Source organism: Homo sapiens, chromosome 8, assembly GCF_000001405.40.
Source record: "Homo sapiens chromosome 8, GRCh38.p14 Primary Assembly".
Classification (NCBI taxonomy): domain Eukaryota; kingdom Metazoa; phylum Chordata; class Mammalia; order Primates; family Hominidae; genus Homo; species Homo sapiens.
This window is the reverse complement of record NC_000008.11, coordinates 78,703,293-78,721,689: the sequence shown is the minus strand read 5'-3', so window position 1 is coordinate 78,721,689 and position 18,397 is coordinate 78,703,293. Positions and strand designations below refer to the sequence as shown.

At 35.0% G+C, this 18,397-nt stretch overlaps 2 protein-coding genes across 6 annotated transcripts in view; one reads left to right on the top strand and one right to left on the bottom strand.

Annotated features, from left to right (window-relative positions):
* The window catches only part of IL7 (interleukin 7), a 130,420-nt gene that overhangs the window by 83,774 nt on the left and 28,249 nt on the right, over positions 1-18,397 (top strand). The window contains exon 6 of one of the 2 annotated variants that reach the window (XM_011517522.4): positions 250-2,156. The exons of the other annotated variant lie outside the window; for it this stretch is intronic. Within the exon in view, the coding sequence (XP_011515824.1) occupies positions 250-339 (90 nt within the window). The 3' untranslated portion in view covers positions 340-2,156. Of the gene's footprint in view, positions 1-249; positions 2,157-18,397 lie in introns of those variants that run through there. 2 annotated transcript variants of the gene reach the window in all.
* The window catches only part of ZC2HC1A (zinc finger C2HC-type containing 1A), a 53,677-nt gene continuing 37,204 nt past the window's right edge, over positions 1,925-18,397 (bottom strand). Inside the window, exons 8-11 of one of the 4 annotated variants that reach the window (NR_156423.2) lie at positions 9,584-9,700; positions 6,991-7,063; positions 6,362-6,469; positions 1,925-4,362 (exon numbers count right to left, since the gene is read on the bottom strand). Coding sequence is in view for 3 of the 4 variants with exons in the window: in NM_001362969.2 (NP_001349898.1) it covers positions 4,197-4,362; positions 6,362-6,469; positions 9,584-9,700 (391 nt within the window). In the remaining variant the exon portion in view is untranslated. Of the gene's footprint in view, positions 4,363-6,361; positions 6,470-6,990; positions 7,064-9,583; positions 9,701-10,982; positions 16,583-18,397 lie in introns of those variants that run through there. The other 3 variants (NM_001362969.2, NM_016010.3, XM_011517539.4) reach the window with 3 other exon arrangements.

The following is an 18,397-nucleotide window of genomic DNA, read 5'->3' as shown; positions in this document are numbered from 1 at the left end:
CATGACAGGTTTTAAGTTTTATAATTTAAGATTGCTGATTTGATGAGTGAAAATCCGCATTTCACTGTTAACTGTACTTGACACTACTCAGCACTACTGGCCGTCTCCTATCCCCAGCCTCACTGTTGCAAATTCAAAGTAGGTGCATAAGTAGAGGTATTTGGGCAGAGATAAAAGAGAGGAAAAAGTGAGATAAGATTGAATAGCTGGAATTATCAGTAACTTTTACTCAACATCTCTTTTCCTCAGTCCTCAGGACTACAGAAGCAGTTCACATTTTACAGATCAAACGGACGACACACACATTCTTTCCACTGCAAATTGTCCTTTCTCCACTAGAAGGTAAAACAGTTCTTGTTCATACTCTGGTTTCCTCCCAAGCATTGGCACAAGGAAGAAAAGAAAAAATGGGAAATGCTGAGCTGTATAATTTATGGTTATAAGAAGCTCCCTCTTTAATATTTCTGCCGCACTTTTTGGTATCTTCATGATAAACAAAAGTTCCATTAAAATAAATCACTTATTTTTGTCCCATGTTGTAATTGTCTGTTTAGGTATCAGTTTCTCCAAATAAATTGTATCAACTTGAGGGCAGACACTTAATTACATCTTATTATCTCGATCCCCATCATTGCATATCCAGAAAGAGCACATAAAGCGTTTTTCAATGGTAAGTACAAAGCTTTAGCTTTGTGCACCTTACAGTAGTTGATCTAACCACTTATTAGCTCCTATTTAAATAGATGACACTCTTTTGTGTTAGATAATGTTAAATTAGAATAGACGATTGGGGAAAAAAAGATCCTTATCTTAAATGAAACTATAACCTACTAAACTGTGGTAGAACTAAGATGAAATATTAAAGTAATATTTCAAGGAGTATTTACTAATCCATGTATTGTCCATAAGTGATATGCTTGAGATGCATAATTTTGCTAACAAAATATCATGAAGTGTAATTATTAAATATCTCTATCAATTACTGCAATCCTGGTGCCCCAGTTGAGCTGGGCAAAATTTCTAAAATATAAACACATTATTAAAATCACAACAAAACAAAGAAAACTACCCTTATAAATCTCTGTAGTTTCGTGTTGTCAAAAAATCATATGTATATTGCTGAGAGGCCCTTAAAAAGAATAGGCCGTAATATTATGAAATAATTATCCAAATGCACCCTCTAGTGGCTAAAAAGCAATTCACATATGAGCTAAGCAAAACTGTGTTTAAAATGAGGAGCATTGAGTAACATTTAACTGAAATTTTTCTAAATGAAAATAAAAATTGTGGCTTTAATTTCTCCACAGCTCTATTTAATAATATAGTCATTTGAAAAAAATCAACGTACCTCAATACTAAAAAATACTTACCATGTAAAATACATACACATTCAATGAAAATAAATACCCAAGTGTTCTGATGATTCTTTGTTATCTGTGTTTTCTAATATTTTTTCATCTCCAGAGCTTCTACTCATGGTTAAATGTTCACCTCTAACCTAAGGAAAAAAATCAAACATGTCTAATCTGAAATTTCACTAAATTCCTTTTTAATTTTAAATGTGGTCTAAAATATTATTCATCACAAATAACTTTGCCATTAAACTGTATAGCTCTTAACTAGAAACGTCCATGTTTCCTATTAACCTTGACATCACAAATGTTTGTGACTGCTAAATAGTCTATGAAGATAATGCCTTAAAAAACTTGTAACAAAAACATTTCTAATACTTTGATGTCAGAAAACACTTCAATAAAATGGTAATACATTTTAAAAAGCTGATGGCATAAGAATACAGCCAATGAAAAGCTACTTTTTATTTGTAAAAATCTGTTATTTTTGACTTCAAATATTTTATTTATATTTCATTAGGTTCCTATCTTTCTATGTATGGCTAAAAGACATCAGTGAATACGAACTAGCATTTTTATGCTTCATGTCTTTATTGAATAGGTTCAAATATGAAGACATTATTGGTGAAAAAACAAAAAACAAATAGTGGACAAGAAATAATAGTCACCACAATCATCTTTTTCAACCTAACACAATTCAGAATAATACATAAGCAATTTTTACATTTTTAATCTTACAATCATCTTTTATTCTACCATACTGTCAAATACTTGTGAAAATAAATAAAAATAAAATACATGATGCATAGGAAGATTTTTTTTAAAACTGAACTATTGCACAAATCAATGTGAGAATATGCAAGTAATATAAAAATGCATTTAAATATATTGTCACAACATATTTCGTAAGTCATAAATCTATTTCACCTACTGTTTATAATCTCTGGGCTCTGGAACTAGATGATTTCTTACCAACTCATCTCCATGTGGTACATTATAACATTAATTTACTACTGTAAAATTCAGTGAGAAACAAATGTGTGCCAATTATTTATCTATCCTTTCCTTGAGCAGACAAAAAGAATTATGTGGTCTTAAAAAAATACTTGACAAAAAAACAGTGCTCAGTATTAGATAAAACAAGTTTAAAGTTCTTTATATGATTTATAACAGAAGTGATTTAAATGGAAATCTAATATATGCATTCATCTTCTAAATTCATTACAGCTTATTTTAGTTGATGGACTATTTGTTTCTTTGTTTTGACCAATAAGACTGAATAAAGATAACTGAGGGGAAAAAAATTAACAACTAATCAGGAAATAAACTGTAAGTAAAATGACAATTCCTATTAAGTTTGTAACTCCTGCCCAAACTAAACTAAGCTAATAAATTTCAGATAAATTATAAGCCACAATTCTTTACATTGTGTCTTATAGTTGATCAGAATCATAAACAAAAAAAAAAGCTAGGAATTATATAAGAGATTTGTTTGTACCTTTACAGTAAGATCAAAGCTCTCTTAGGTTTGATTGAATAGAAATTACTACAGAATTACTGCCATCAAGGCAATCTACTACTAACTACTATGATATACTGAAAGTGACAATGATTAAGAGCTGTGTCGTGATCAGGTTAAAGAGAAAAAAATAATTAAATTTGTGTGTATGTTTAATTAGGTAAGTCAATTATGCATTAAAACAATACATTTTCAGTGGGTCCTTAATGTGACGTGAATGGTGTTTCAACATTAAATGCTAAAGATGAAAAAAAGAGTAGGAAAATTAGATATTCTCTTAACCTACTCATAACTACATGTACTTCCAAGAAAAAAAAATTCAAATATTTTTTATCTGCATGCTCTGCACTAATGATTAGTTACCACAACTATTATGATTAGGTGACGTGATTTAAGATGCATTAAAATGATTTATTCTAAATTCAGATACAAAAAATTATATGTTTTTAAACATGTAAGATTTTGCAGGGAATTCTGTGCCTTCTATATTAAATAATTACATTTTCAAATACAGCAAAAAATGAACTAGCAAATTAAAACTATCTTCACGGGTTATGGAAAAAGAGGAAAAGTGAAATCTGGAAAAACAATTGGAAGTAAAAAAATATGTTCAACGAATACATACAGAACTAAAAAAAATCAGTTATAAATAGAACAAGATAGATTTGTATTTTTAGTCTTGTGTATTTGAAAAGGAAATTGCATAATTACACTTTTACAAAACAAGTAAGATGTTTAAATTACGTAACTAATAGAGGGGTTTTTTTTTCTCTTAGTTTTTCGGATTTATGAAATAATTTGTTGACATGCTCTACAGGAGTGACCTTAACATACCTAATGGTAACTAAAACTGTTCTCTTTAATTACAAAATTCCCAGCATCTATCCTACTATGATACTATCTGAAGATAGGCACCAATAATACAAATGTTTATCCAAATTTTTTGCTCAAAGTTATACTTATCCTAAAGCTTGAAGGGCTAAGCACTAGAGTATGAGAGTTTGTGGAAATGTACTTAACGTGCTTTAACAACAACAGAAAAGTAACACCTAAATTAATTGTTCCATTTGAAATTATTTTCTGACAGATAAGTGAATATTTCCTTGAATGACACAGTCTGGGGTATCAGATATTTATTATATACAGTATATGTACACATATAAACATACACACATTATATAGCCAAAAGATTACACTTCAAAATTAACTGGAAATGGTATTTCGAGTATTTTTAGCACAAACTAACTAGAGGATGTGCTCTAGCTGTCCAAGCAGCAATAATCATAAACTCTGAACTTGGCTTTTTTTTTTTTTTGAGATTCTATTCATAGAATCATTCTTCGAATGCCACATTCACAGCAAAATTTGGCCCATTCTACAGGGTATTTAGTCCCACACTCATGGCAGAATTTTGGTAAGTTTCCAGGTGAATGTCCTTCAATGCCTTTAATATTTCCACCATTAAGGGAAGATGCACAGTCCCCATCTGGCCTAAAAAAGTAAAGAAACAATGAAAAGATAAAGTTTGTATCAGTAGTTTTCAACCCATAACCCTGGAGAAACAGGACATAAATATAACAATTAGCCTGCTTAATCTCGTTTTTAATATTCCTCTAGTTCAAATTTTAAAAAATCCTTGTTAGTAAATACTAAAATTCTAACATTTTTTTTTAACATTATATTTATCTGTGTTACGAGAATTTACCATGACCAAATGCAGCCATGCTTTCTGTGTTAGTCTGTTCTCACATTGCTATAAAGAACTACCTGAGACTGGGTAATTTATAAAGAAAAGAGGTTTAACTGACTCACAGTTCTGCAGGCTGTACAGAAAGCTTGGTTGGGGAGGCCTCAGGAAACTTATTCATAGCAGAAGGCAAAGGGGAAGCAAGCATGTCTTACATGGTGGGAGCAGGAGGAAAAAAGAGAAGGGGCAGGTACTATACAGTTTTAAACAATCAGATACATTGAGAACTCACTATCACAAGAACAGCAATGGGGAAGTCCACCCCCATGATCCAATCGCCTATCACCAGGCCCCTCCTCTAACGTTGAGGGTTACAATTTGACATGAGATTTGGGCAGGACACAAATCCAAACCACATCGCTTTCCATCTGTTCTTTGTGCTAGGAATTTACTACACTGGGAGCAGAATGAACATTTATGATGTCCTTTCTGCAAACCCATCTCTAAAGAGAACCCAACCATGAGGAAAGATAGAGATCCTTAGGTTTCAAGTCTCTCTCCTTGGTCACAAGGATTGTGAGGTGATGCTTCTAGTATTTATTTTAGTTTTATTATTTAATGATATTAAATTATTGTGATGCAATAAATAACAAACTCTTATGCATGCACTCACAGGGAGGTCTCTATTATCTATTAACAAAACATACTAGGCCGGGTGCGGTGGCTCACACCTGTAATCCCAGCACTTTGGGAGGCCAAGGTGGGTGGATCATGAGGTCAGGAGATCAAGACCATCGTGGCTAACATGGTGAAACCCCGTCTCTAATAAAAATACAAAAAAATTAGCCAGGCGTGGTGGCGGGCGCCTGTAGTCCCAGCTACTCGGGAGGCTGAGGCAGGAGAATGGCGTGAACCTGGGAGGCACAGCTTGCAGTGAGCCGAGATTGCGCCACTGCACTCCAGCCTGAGCGACAGAGCGAGACTCCGTCTTAAAAAACAAACCAAAAAAACAAAAACAAAAAAAAACAGTAATAAAGGTAAAATAGATGCTAGATGAACTATACACTATAACAGCCTTTTTTTTTTTTTTTTGAGATGGAGTCTCGCTCTGTCACTGAGGCTGGAGTGCAGTGGCCCCATCTCAGCTCACTCCAACCTCTGCCTCCCAGGTTCAAGCAATTCTCCTGCCTCGGCCTCCTGAGTAGCTGGGATTACAGGTGTGCAACACCACAACCGGCTAATTTTTCTACTTTTAGTAGAGACAGGGTTTCACCATGTTGGCCAGGCTAGTCTCAAACTCCTGACCTCAGGTGATCCACCTGCCTCAGCCTCTCAAAGTGCTGGGATTACAGGCGTGAGCCACCACAACTCCTCATCCATTCCAGTTTTATCGTGAGACTGCAGCAGTTCAATGACATCTGCAGGCTTCCCTTCTGATTCTAGTTCTTTTGCTATTTTGCTAGTACATCTGCAGTTACCTCCTCCACTGAAGTCTTAAGTCCCTCAAAGTCATCCATGAAGTTTGGAACAACTTCTTCCAAACTCTTATTAATGTGGATATTTTGACCTCCTCCCATAAATCACATACGTTCTTAGTGGCATGTAGAAGGGTTAATCCTTTACAGAAGGTTTTCAGTTTACTTTGCCCAAATCCATTAGAGGTGTACAACTTAAAAGCCAGATTAAAAGAAAAAAATCAGGTTTTCTATAAATAGCTTGTTACTTACTTTTGTGTATGGTCCTTGGAAAACTATCATATACTCAATTTTATTTTAGTTATTGGGAGAGCAGAGCTAAACATACCTGGCTATGTAGCTCTCAGTATATGTTTTTCTTTTGTTTGTAAGCACACCTGGGGCAGGATTTCTTGCCAAACTAGGTGGTGTGGAATTTCGGGGTTTGACATTAGCTCTATAAAAAAGAGGAAAAATAATGGAAAAGTATTGAACAGTGAGCATGTATTTCTCAAATTACCTATTCACATGACTAGAAAGAATACTTAGAAGCTTCAGAGAAGTTCAAAAGATTAAAGTCCCAATAATTATTTTAAATCTGAAAGCAAATAGTAGTTAATATTAAAGATAAACCAAATAATTTTGCATTTACTAATACTATTCTGATAGTAAATAAAATCAACTAAAATATGTATATATGCTTTACATGAAATTTATAAGGTAATCATTCTGAAAGATACATTTTTAAAAACAGTTTAAATTTATATTTCCCTCAAAACATATATTCTGATAAATGCTTACGGATAATGGTTAAATAAACAAACAAGTTTCATTATTCTAGGCATATACGATGTAGTTAAAAAAAGAATTTTTTTGCTAGTCACATTAAAGAATAATATTCAACTTATGAAAGTTCTAAAAAGCAGCAACTAAAATAAATGAGTTAATATAATATTCCCTTTAAAGATTTAATTTTACCAACTGCACAGCCTGGGCTATCCGAAATCAGAGGGACTTCTGGTTGGATCATCCATGAGTCTCCATTTTGAAACTTTAAGAATCAAAGAAGGGTTAGAAAACTAAATGATGATGATATAACACTAAAAGCAGAGGCTTGGGAATTCAAATGAATTTAGATTCAAATGCTAATGCTACTGACAGCTTTGTGACAGCAAGTCTGAGTCTCATCATTTATAAAATGATCACTTATAGAAAGGTTATGAGAAAAAAAGTACAATTCATATAAACATTTAGATAGCTGATGCTAATACTATTACTACTGTTGTTGCCACTATAAGTTAACATTTATATAATAGTGCTTACTCCATGTCAAGTACAATTCTAATTATTTTGCCCATAGAAATTTATTTATCCTAATAATCCTATGAAATAGGTAGCGTTCATAACTCCATTTACAGATAAGACAAATGAGGTAAAGAGCCCCTAAGTAACTTACCCAAGGTGACCCTGCTAGTGTGTTCCAAAGCTAGGATTTAGATGTTCATTGAAGCATAGTTCCCTCCCTCTCTATAGAGCTTTAATCAAATCTTTAAATTTCACAGGTGAACAGTGTTATATGAACAGCAGAATACTTTAAAAAATACCTCCAGATTAGAGGTTCTTAAACTTTAGTTGAAATTTTTCTTACTCTACTTATATGGCAAAGTAGGAGAGAGTACCCTAAAATTGTAAATAGCTGCTTCCAAAGTACATGCAGGTAATAACAACATCCACTATTTTTCAAACAGCCACTACATGACAATTATGAAGCCAGATACTACACATGCCTTATTTAATGTCCCCCAAATCTCAGAAGATATTATTCCCATTTTAAAGTGGAAGCATGTTCAAAGAGATTATATAAATTGTGAGGCTACTACGTGGCCAGAGTAGTACTTGAACTTAAGTGGGCTGTATTACAGAACTCATATTCAATACACAATGCTGTCATTCAAAGTGGTTGCTTTGCATAGTTACTTCTTTAAATTACTTCTAAACTTCAACAAGCAAAGAATCACTTTGGTGCATGAATGGAATGCCCTGCACCTCTTCAAATGCTCACTCCAAGTCCATTCATGAGGTTTACTCTACTCTTGTGTATAGCCTCTTTGGGGATGTTGTAGAACTACTAGAGTCTTTTTCTAGAAATTCAATCTTTAGGAAATCATTGTCAAAGAATGGACTTTAAATAGGAAGAACACTTTTTTTTTTTTTGGCTATAGAATCGTCTTAAGTGCATGAGATATACAAACAATACAAACACACCCATGAATATATACACATAATGTCACCATATCGGTAACTTGAGGTTGTTCAAAATGTTTATATTTAGAGGAAAATATAAGAGATTATCATCATTAATAGCTACCAATATTAAATACCTGTCATTTATTTTTAGTAACATCTAGAATGGCCTTGATCACTTAAAACATCTTGCCCCAGTCTTACACAGTCCACAAATTTTTCTTTCTGTTCAGAATCTGCAAAGCATTACTCTTACTCTGTATCTAGAATCTACCTGTTAACAGCTCATATGAATAATTAAAGAAGGTTTAATTTTGGAATTGTACTTAATCCATCTTACTGCTAGTCACTGTTACTGTGAGATCTGCATCAGAGAGTTCTGACAGTAGAATCAGCAAAATGAAAAACGGCTCACAGCACAAACTCTTCCTGCTAGGATTTATCACTACTTAAAAATAGCAAATGGCTGCTGCTAGTATCTTAAAGACTTCTCCTACCTTTGTTTATCTAGTTAAATTTATTATTACTTTTCATACATACATACTGAGCAGACTGTTGTAGTAGGTGTTGGTTTAAAAGTTAACTAAGTTACTCTGCTTAATATTTTCCACCATTAATAGGTATATTAATTTTTAGGCCCTAATTTCATATTTAAAATGTGGGCTAGAATTGAGACCCAAATTAGTAAACCTTGAAGACTCATGCTGTAGAGTTTCAAAGTAACTGCCATTGCCACACACTCTTTTCAGCCAGCCAGGTCAGAACTGGCTGTGTCATACTCTTCCTCGAGCTTGACTCTTTGGCAGTGTCATACTTTTTCCCGGTTGTAGGCAGAATTTACAACCATCTAACAAAAAGACTAAGGACCCTTGGATTGAAAGTTTCCTAAAATCTTTTCTTTTTCTGGGCTTTTTATAATAGTTCACCATCGGCTTATCTAAGAGATAATCTAACAATATTATATACTGTACAAGACATTATTTTTCTCAAACTCTGCTTTTTAAAACTACTATTACAAAAAACCCTAATTACTACTAAAAAAAACTTCATAAAAATAATTATTAAATGTGACTGCAATTTGAAACCTCAAAAAATTAATATTTAATGGAATAAAATGTATAACCTAAAAAGTTTTATTTAGTACAACAGAAATGCTTACTAAAAATCAAAATGTTTTAAATCCTAGATTATTTGACACATTTTGGCTTAGAAATTATTCAACAGATTTTTTTAAGTATAGGACAGTAAAAGTTATGTTATTCCATTATATAAAGCTTTTAAGGAAATATCTGAAAAATATTAACCAAACTGAGTTACAAATACTTACTTGTAAATAGGTAATAACTCATGTCTTTTGATGGCACTGTCTGATTTTGTATCACTGTCATACAACCTTTGCACAAGTCTTCCCGTTCGAAGTGGAGGGCCTAACTTGTCCATATTACTATTAAAATATATAAAGGTGTACCCATAAGGAGATTGCTACTGCTTCTTTATATAAAGTTTTTTTAAAAGACATTATTCTGGTTCATCAGATATCTACTCCCCAAGTCCTTAATTTTATCTGACTGTCAAGGTAAGAACTAATGTCCAAAAGAATCCTCAGAGAGTTCATACAATGTCCATTATTAGGTCTGAAAATTCTGACTACACAGGCTACCCTACACATCCAAACAAATGTCAAATTATACACAGCAGGGCAATGGAATCAATGAAGAAACTTAGGAAGAACAACTATTTCAAAAAAAAAATCATGAAGCTATAAGTGAACTGAATGCTGTTATTCACAAATGATTTTTCTTCCTCCCAGAATTCATGGAAACTTTCTCTACTCTTCATATTATTTATTTCCGTGCTTTTTAAAATTCCAAAAATAAGGAATTGACTAAATAACATGTACTCCATTTGACTTTCTAACTCCACTGACTTCTAACAAAAAAGTGACTTTATTTCTGAAATGTATCCAAAGTAAAACAGGACTCGGCATGGAAAAAAAAAACATGGATGACAATTCTAAAAATCACATATAATAATGGTAAGGGGCCTATATATACACACACACATTTTGACCAAAATTATAAAGGCTCTCCATCTAGAGGATAGCAGGACAAACTGCAGGTTTGTAGGATATTTCACTGTTTTAAATCAACCAACCAAATAACTGAATCATATAAACTATCACCAACCAACATCTAGTCATAGTAGGAAGCAGGGAAAATTGAATTATGACATTAGGAAACAATCTTATTTGCTACTGAATAACACATCACTGCTTGTTAACTTTAAAAGTCTGTTCTTTTTAAGAGATATTTGCTCACTCATTTCTTTACTTATTCACTGACTATAAACCCTGAGCATCTATTATGAGCATCTATTATGTGTCAGGCACTGTGCTCCATTCTCAGGATGTGGTGGTAAATAAGATAGATCTGATACCTGTTCTTATGGAGTTTAGTGTCTGAAAAGAATGTGTTCATTTTCCTAGATTATAGATATCTAAGAGGAGGGACACATTTTATTAATTTTTGTCTTCTTTCAGTAGCTTATACATAGCAGGCATTTTGTTGAAAAAGTTGATATTAATACTTTGCAGGTGGTGGTGTTTACGTGAGGATTTAAAGTTCTTAAAAGCAGCCTTCATTAAATAAATGTATTAAGTAAAATTTCTAAAATATTTTAAATTAAAATTTGTTTTTAATTTGTTAAAGTACAAAGAAACCCATCTATTGGAATTTTAAACATTCAGATTTTATTCTAATCCTTAATTATCAAAACATTTTTCTTCCAAACAGTGGTTATCTTACATGATTCTGGAAATAAGGATTAAAATTTTTCTTTCTCAGAAAAAACTTCCTGAAATTAAAATTTAGAAAATTTTTGACTATATTTTAAAAACATATTCCTCTTATATGATAAGAAATGGTCAAATCCTACATGTGATACAACAAAGTTCAGTTCAAGAAAGATGTGTAAAATATAATAAAAACCTAAAGGTAATTATCCAATGGAAACATTACATATATAAAAAGATTGCCAATATTTTCAGATTTTGAAAACCTAATTGAAGGACAGGTTCCAGTAATGATTTTAACCATACTTGTATTATAACATTCAACTTGATTTATATGTGTGCATATATATATATGTACATTCAAAACTCAAATGTTACTTAGGCTAAAAGTTAATGAATGCTATTTTTAGGCTATAATCACTTAATAACTTACATTCTAAGTTGCCATTAGGCTATCAAAAACAAAATCTATAAATCTCAATAACAATCAAGATTTTATACATATAATACTTTCACAGGCCTTCAAAATACTCATAGCTGAATGAGTATGGTGACGATATCAACCTATCCCTGATTTGAAATAAACTTTAACATAGGAAAAGTCATTTACTGTTGATACCAGGAGAGTGAATTCACTTACGAAATAAGTAATTTTAGTGTGGCTTACTAGGTACCTTGTAGGAGTGTAGCAAGTACTGTAGATTGAGATATAACAAAAAGATGATTTCTGAAATAATATTGGGAAAAGAATTTACCGGATGGTATTTTGTATCTTTGCACACCTCTGTTGTTATGATGCTATAAGGCAATCTTGTCCAACCAGCAGCTCACAGGCCACATGCCACCCAAGATGGCTTTGAATGGGGCCCTATACAAATTCGTAAACTTTCTTAAAACATTATGAAATTTTTTTTTTTTTTTTTAGTTCATCAGCTATCATTAGCGTTCGTGTATTTTATATGTGGTCCAAGACAATTCTTCTTTCAGTGTGGCCCAGGGAAGCCAAAAGATTGAACACCCCCCTGCTCTAAGGCAGTTTTGAAATGTGTCATACCTCTACTTTTGATCCTAAATTTATCAATCCTACACAAATAATTAGTATCTCAATTCCACAGCAAAGTTAGCTCCCTATCCAAAATCTCCAATCATTGTTATCCACATAAGAAACCGAGGTCTGGAATTCTAGGTTATCACAAGCATTTCTAGATCAACAATAAAAGATAAGTTCATAAAAATTCACATAACGCTCCACACAAATTCATTTCACACACATCAAAAGACTGGATTATGAAAACAGCATGTTTCCTATTCATATAAAAATGTACTCAAAAACTAAAGACATTTACTTCTTAATGTTTTAAATAAGGTATGAGAAACAAAATGCAATTTTTTAAATTAAAAAATGCTCCATACATGCCTTTGGTTGCTCTAATTTTAGGTGTATTACAGTTGCTCTCCAAAGTAAATGTGCTTTTCATAGTAACTAAAAGGAAGTAAATCTCTGATATTTGATAGTTTCACTATTGAAAATTATTAACTGAGATATCCATTTAAACTGGTAATAAGGTACAACTGTGTAAACTCTAGGGAACAATTCAAATGGGGAAATATTTATTTAAAAGATCTGTGTTTCACTGTATTTCTAAAATTTCCTGGTATTAAAGATAATCATCTTTTGGCCGGGCGTGGTGGCTCATGCCTGTAATCCCAGCAATTTGGGAAACCGAGGTGGATGGATCACTTGAGGTCGGAAGTTTGAGACCAGCCTAACATGGTGAAAACCCATAAAAATTCAAAATTAGCCAGACATGGTAGCACACACCTGTCCCAGCTAATGGGGAGGCTGAGGCAGCAGAATCACTTGAATCCAGGAGGCGGAGGTTACGGTGAGCCAAGATCGCACCATTGCACTCCAGCCTGGGCAACAAGAGCAAAACTCCATCTCAAAAAAAAAAAAAAGAAAAAAAAAAGATAATCATCTTTTAGAAGAAGGGAAAAACTTTCTACTTGGGTGTGTTTTGTTGTTTTTTAAACAAATCTGTTAAAATTGACCTAGAAATTGATTTGATTGCTTTTTTTTACATTTAAAAAAAGGTTTAAAAAGGTTGTTTTTGTTTTTGTTTTTTTAATGGAGACGAGTTCTTACTATGTTGCCCAGGCAAGTCTCAAACTCCTGGGTTCAAGCGACTCTCCCACCTCACTCTCCCAAAGTGTTGGGATTACAGGTGTGAGGCACTGCACCTGGCCTAATCCACAAACTGTCTAGAAGCAAACAACCAAACATATGAGAATTTTTCTGAGTGTAAAAATAAATCTCTTTGTGGCATGATTCTATTACAGATCACTGGTATGCCTGATTAAAGTGGACTACAATAAAGATTACATACACCAGACTTTAAATAATTGCAATCCACTGAAATAACAGCATTTACTAATCTCAGCGAATGCTCAATTTATTGAGCATTACACCTGACCAAATGTCTTAATTCAACCTTTACTCAATCCTGAATCATCTGTATAAATCGAAATAACAGTTGTCATACAAACTTTAAGTAATTCTTTCACTGGTACCAGATGATAATTCTGTGACATGCCAATAGATTAACAGATGAGGGAATTAATTTATTATCTTTTTTCACTTAACCAAAAATTTTTTGTTAGCCTAGGCATTCTGCTAGATTTTAGTTACAAATGGAAGCAAGGCAGACATAGTCTTTGCCATCATGGAGCTTACAATCTAGCAAGAGAAACAAATCATTACTTCACTAATTCTTAAAAAAAAAAAAAGAAAAAAAAAGGAAGGAACTCTGTCACTAAATAGACAGCTATGAATGGTTCTAATTTAATACAGTAACACAATGTTCCAGTTAATATAGTAATATATTGGTAGAAATGAGCTCCACAGCTCTCTTTCCAGTAGTTGGAAAGCTTCCTTTAATCTGCAAGGATCTTATACAGAATGGACAATCAGAATTTGAACAGGTATGATTGACAGTTATATATGATGTGGGATAGCCAAAAAATATGTATTCTTCATGGCATTCATCATAAGCAATGCACAACTGACAAAATTATTGTACTCAAAATCTCTGCTTGTTAGCAAAAGCATATTTTCCATTAGTAACCAGGTATGTTGGTCAGATTTTCTTGGATCAGTTGTCAAGGTCTAACCAGAGTCACAGATGTTGTCACAGTCAGACAATATGTCACAGCATGACAAAGAGATACATGCCCAAAGCTATTTAGTGGCAGATTATGATGCAGAAACCTAGTCTTCTAACTCCAAGGTCAGCGCCTCTCTTCATTACACCAGCCAGCTTTACACGTCCTATCTAGGAATACTGTGTCAGTACAATTTAATATTGCCAACTGATAAAATTGCCAGTACTATAGAAATACTGAAAAATATCAGCTTTTAATCTATGATCAACTGTAAGTGAAACTATAAACAACACTATGAACAAATATTGTTACCTAACATGGAGGCCAATTCTCTGTGATATGGTAAAATGACTTTGTAAAATTAAAGCACATATTGCTATGTCTATACTTCACTTAATCATCCAATGAGTCAACTCATTGGAGAAGAAAATAAATCAGATCAGTTTCTTACCACTAAAAGATAAAATTTTTTTACTTTTCAACTACCTGATCTACTGATAAACTGTCTCTTTCTTATGGATAGCCTGTCTCTTGTTTTTGGAAGCACAACAATAAGAAAAATCACTTAACTCAAAAGATATTGTTGGTTGATTTTTTTTTCCTTTTCTATAATGATAATTACATTATATTCCTTTAGGTCTTCCATTTTCTATGTAGTCTGAATTGAGAAGCAAAATGTAGTTACTATCATTTGACAGATATCTTTGTATATATTTCCCACATAAAAACCAAAATGAATGTGAGCCACATATAACTTACACTTGAAAATAACAGGAAAAGGGGTGAGTAAATACAGCACCTTCATCTGAAACATCCATGTACTTGCATTGGGACTAATCAAGGAAACAACTTGACCCACAGAGAACAAAGAAAAGAGAGGCAGGATGACAGCCCACCTTGGAGCGACACAGAGCAAGGTGAACCTCTCTGGCCCAGGGAAGCAGTGAGTGAACGTGTGACCCTGGGAAACCACGCTTCTCCAACGGATCTTTGCAACCCTTGGGTCAAGAGACGCCCTTGTGAAGCCACTCCACTAGAGCCTTCAGTCTGACATACAGATATGGGGAGTCTTGGCAGAGCAGCTGCTCCGGCACAGGCAAAGACCCAGGAACTCCAAACTTCCCAGCAAAAGTAACTGCAACTCCAGCAAAGCAGGATGTTAGACCCCCGTACATACCCTTAGGAAAAAAGGCTGAATCAAGAGGACCAAGTAGAGACAGTCTGCAGGTCTCACTTTCATAACACCTCACAGGATAAGACCCACTGGCTTGGAATTCCAGCCAGCCACCAGTAGCAGTTTTGAGCCTACCTGGGATGGAACTCCCAGGGGAAGGGACAGGCTGCCATCTTTGCTGTTTGGGTGACTCAGCTGTTCTGCAGGCTTTGGAGAGTACAAACCAACCAGAGGCAGAGAGGATTCCCCAGCATAGCATGACTTCTTTACCAAAATGTGGTCAGACTGCTGGTTAAGCAGGTTCCCAATCCATTCCTCATCACAGAGCAGGACCTCACAACTGGGACCTCCAACCATCCCTGCTGGTATTCTCTGGCCCACAGAGAGCCAAAGCCAACTGGGACGAAAGTGGTAACCCAGCACAACACAGCTGCTCTAGGAAAGTGTGGCCACACTGCTTCTTTAAGTAAGTCCCCAATATTGCCCCTCCTCACTGGAAAGAACCTCCCAACTGGGACCTCCAGCCAGCCCTGCAGGTGTTCTCTGGCCTACAGAGATTTGCAAAGTCCCTGGGATAGAACTCCCACAGGGTGTGCAGGCCATCATCTTTGCTGTTTGGGCAACTTAGCAGTTTCAGTCTCTGGGGTTTGGAGAGCCCATGCCGACCCAGAGGTGGAAGTGGTACAACAGCACACCACAGTGGTCCCATAAAAATGTGGCCAGACTGCTTTATTAAGCAGGTTCCCAGTCCCATTCCTCATCACCAGGTGGAGCCTCCCAACTGGAGTCTTCAGCCACACCCACAGGTGTTCTTTGGCTGACAGAGGTTTGAGGCATCCCTAAAATGAAGCTCCCAGGAGGAGGGGCAGGCCACTACCTTTGCTGATTTGTAGCCTTCACTGGTGACACCTCCAGCTACTGAAAAATCCAAGGTGACTAGTGACTGGAGTGGACACCCAGCATACACAAGCAGCCCTATGGAAAAGTAGCCAGAGTTGTTCAAAAAAACAAACCCATCCAAAGGTAAGCAGCCTCAAAGACTGAAGTTAGGTAAGCTCACAAAGATGAGAAAGAATCAGCACAAGTATGCTGAAAACTTAAAAAGCCAGAGTGCCCTCTTTTCCTCCAAGTGACCGCATCACCTCTCCAACAGGAATCAGGCTGAGAATCTCCTCAGAATCAGGCTGAGGCTGAGACAGCTGAAATGAAAGAAGCAGAATTCAGGATACGGACAGGAACGAAGTTCACTGAGCTAAAGCAATACATTGTAATCCAATGAAAGGAAGCTAAAAATCATGATAAAACACTGCAGGAGCAAACAGATGAAATAGCCAGTATAGAGAAGAACATAACCAACCTGATAAAGCTGAAAAACACACTACAAGAATTTCATAATGGAATCACAAGTATTAATAGCAGAAGAGACCAAGCGAAGAACAAATCTCAGAGCTTGAAGACTGGCTTTCTGAAATAAGACACGCTGACAAGAATAGAGAAAAAAAGGATGAAAAGGAATGAACAAAAGCTCCAAGAAGTGTGACATTATATAAAAAGACCAAATCTATGACTGACCGGTATATCTGAAAGAGATGAGGAGAATGGCACCAATTTGAAAAACATATTTCAGGATGTCATCCATGAGAACTTTCCTAACCTAGCTAGATGGGCCAACATTCAAATTCAGGAAATGTAGAGAACCCCAGTAAGATACTCATGAGATGATCATCCACAAGACACATAATCATCAGATTCTCCAAGACTGAAATGAAAGAAGAAATGTTAAAGGCAGCTAGAGAGAAAGGCCAGGTCACCTACAAAGGAAAGCCCATCAGACTAACAGCAGACCTCTCAGTGGAAACCCTACAAGCCAGAAGATATTGGGGACCAATATTTAACATTCTTTTTTTTTTTTTTTTTTTGAGATGGAGTCTCACTCTGTCACCCAGGCTGGAGTACAATGGCGCAATCTCGGCTCACTGCAACCTCTGCCTCCTGGGTTCGAGCAATTCTCCTGCCTCAGCCTCCCAAGTAGCTGGGACTACAGGTGCACACAACCACACCCGGCTAATTTTTGTATTTTTTTTTTAAATAGAGACAGGCTTTCACCACATTGGTCAGGCTGGTCTTGAACTCCTGACCTCAGGTGATCCGCTCGCCTCGGTCTCCCAAAGTGCTGGGATTACAGGCGTGAGCCACCACACCTGGCTAACATTCTTAAAGAAAAGAAATTCCAACTCAAAATTTCATATCAGGCCAAACTAAGCTTCATAAGTGAAGGAGAAATAAAACCTTTTTCAGACCAGCAAATGCTGTAGGAATTTGTTACCACCAGACCTGCCTTACAAGAGCTCCTGAAGGAAGCACTAAATATGGAAAGAAAAGACAATTACGAGCCACTACAAAAACTCAATGAGGTACACAGACCAGTAATACTGTAAAACTGTTAGTTACATAAACAAGTCTGCCAAATAACCAGCTAGCATCATTATGACAATCAAATCCACACACATCAATACTAGTCTTAAATGTAAATGGGCTAAATGACCCAATTAAAAGACACAGAGTGGCAAGTATTTTGATAAAGAACCACGATCCATTGGTATGCTGTCTTCAAGAGACCCATCTCATGCAATGACACACATGGGATCAAAATAAAGGGATGGAGAAAAATTTACCAAGCAAATGGAAAACAGAAAAAAGCAGGGGTTGTACTCCTAATTTCTGATAAAACAGACTTTAAACCAACAAAGATTTAAAAAAAAAAAAAAAAGAAGGGTATTACATAATGGTAAAGGGTTCAATTTAACAAGAAAAGTTAACTATCCTAAATACAAATGTACCCAACACAGGAGCACTCAGATTCATAAACCAAGTTCTTAGAGACCTTCAATGAGACTTAGACTCTCACACGATAATAGTGGGAGACTTTAACACCTCACTGACAATATTAGACAGATTATCAAGACAGATAATTAACAAATAAATATTTAGGACCTGAACTCAGCACTGGATCA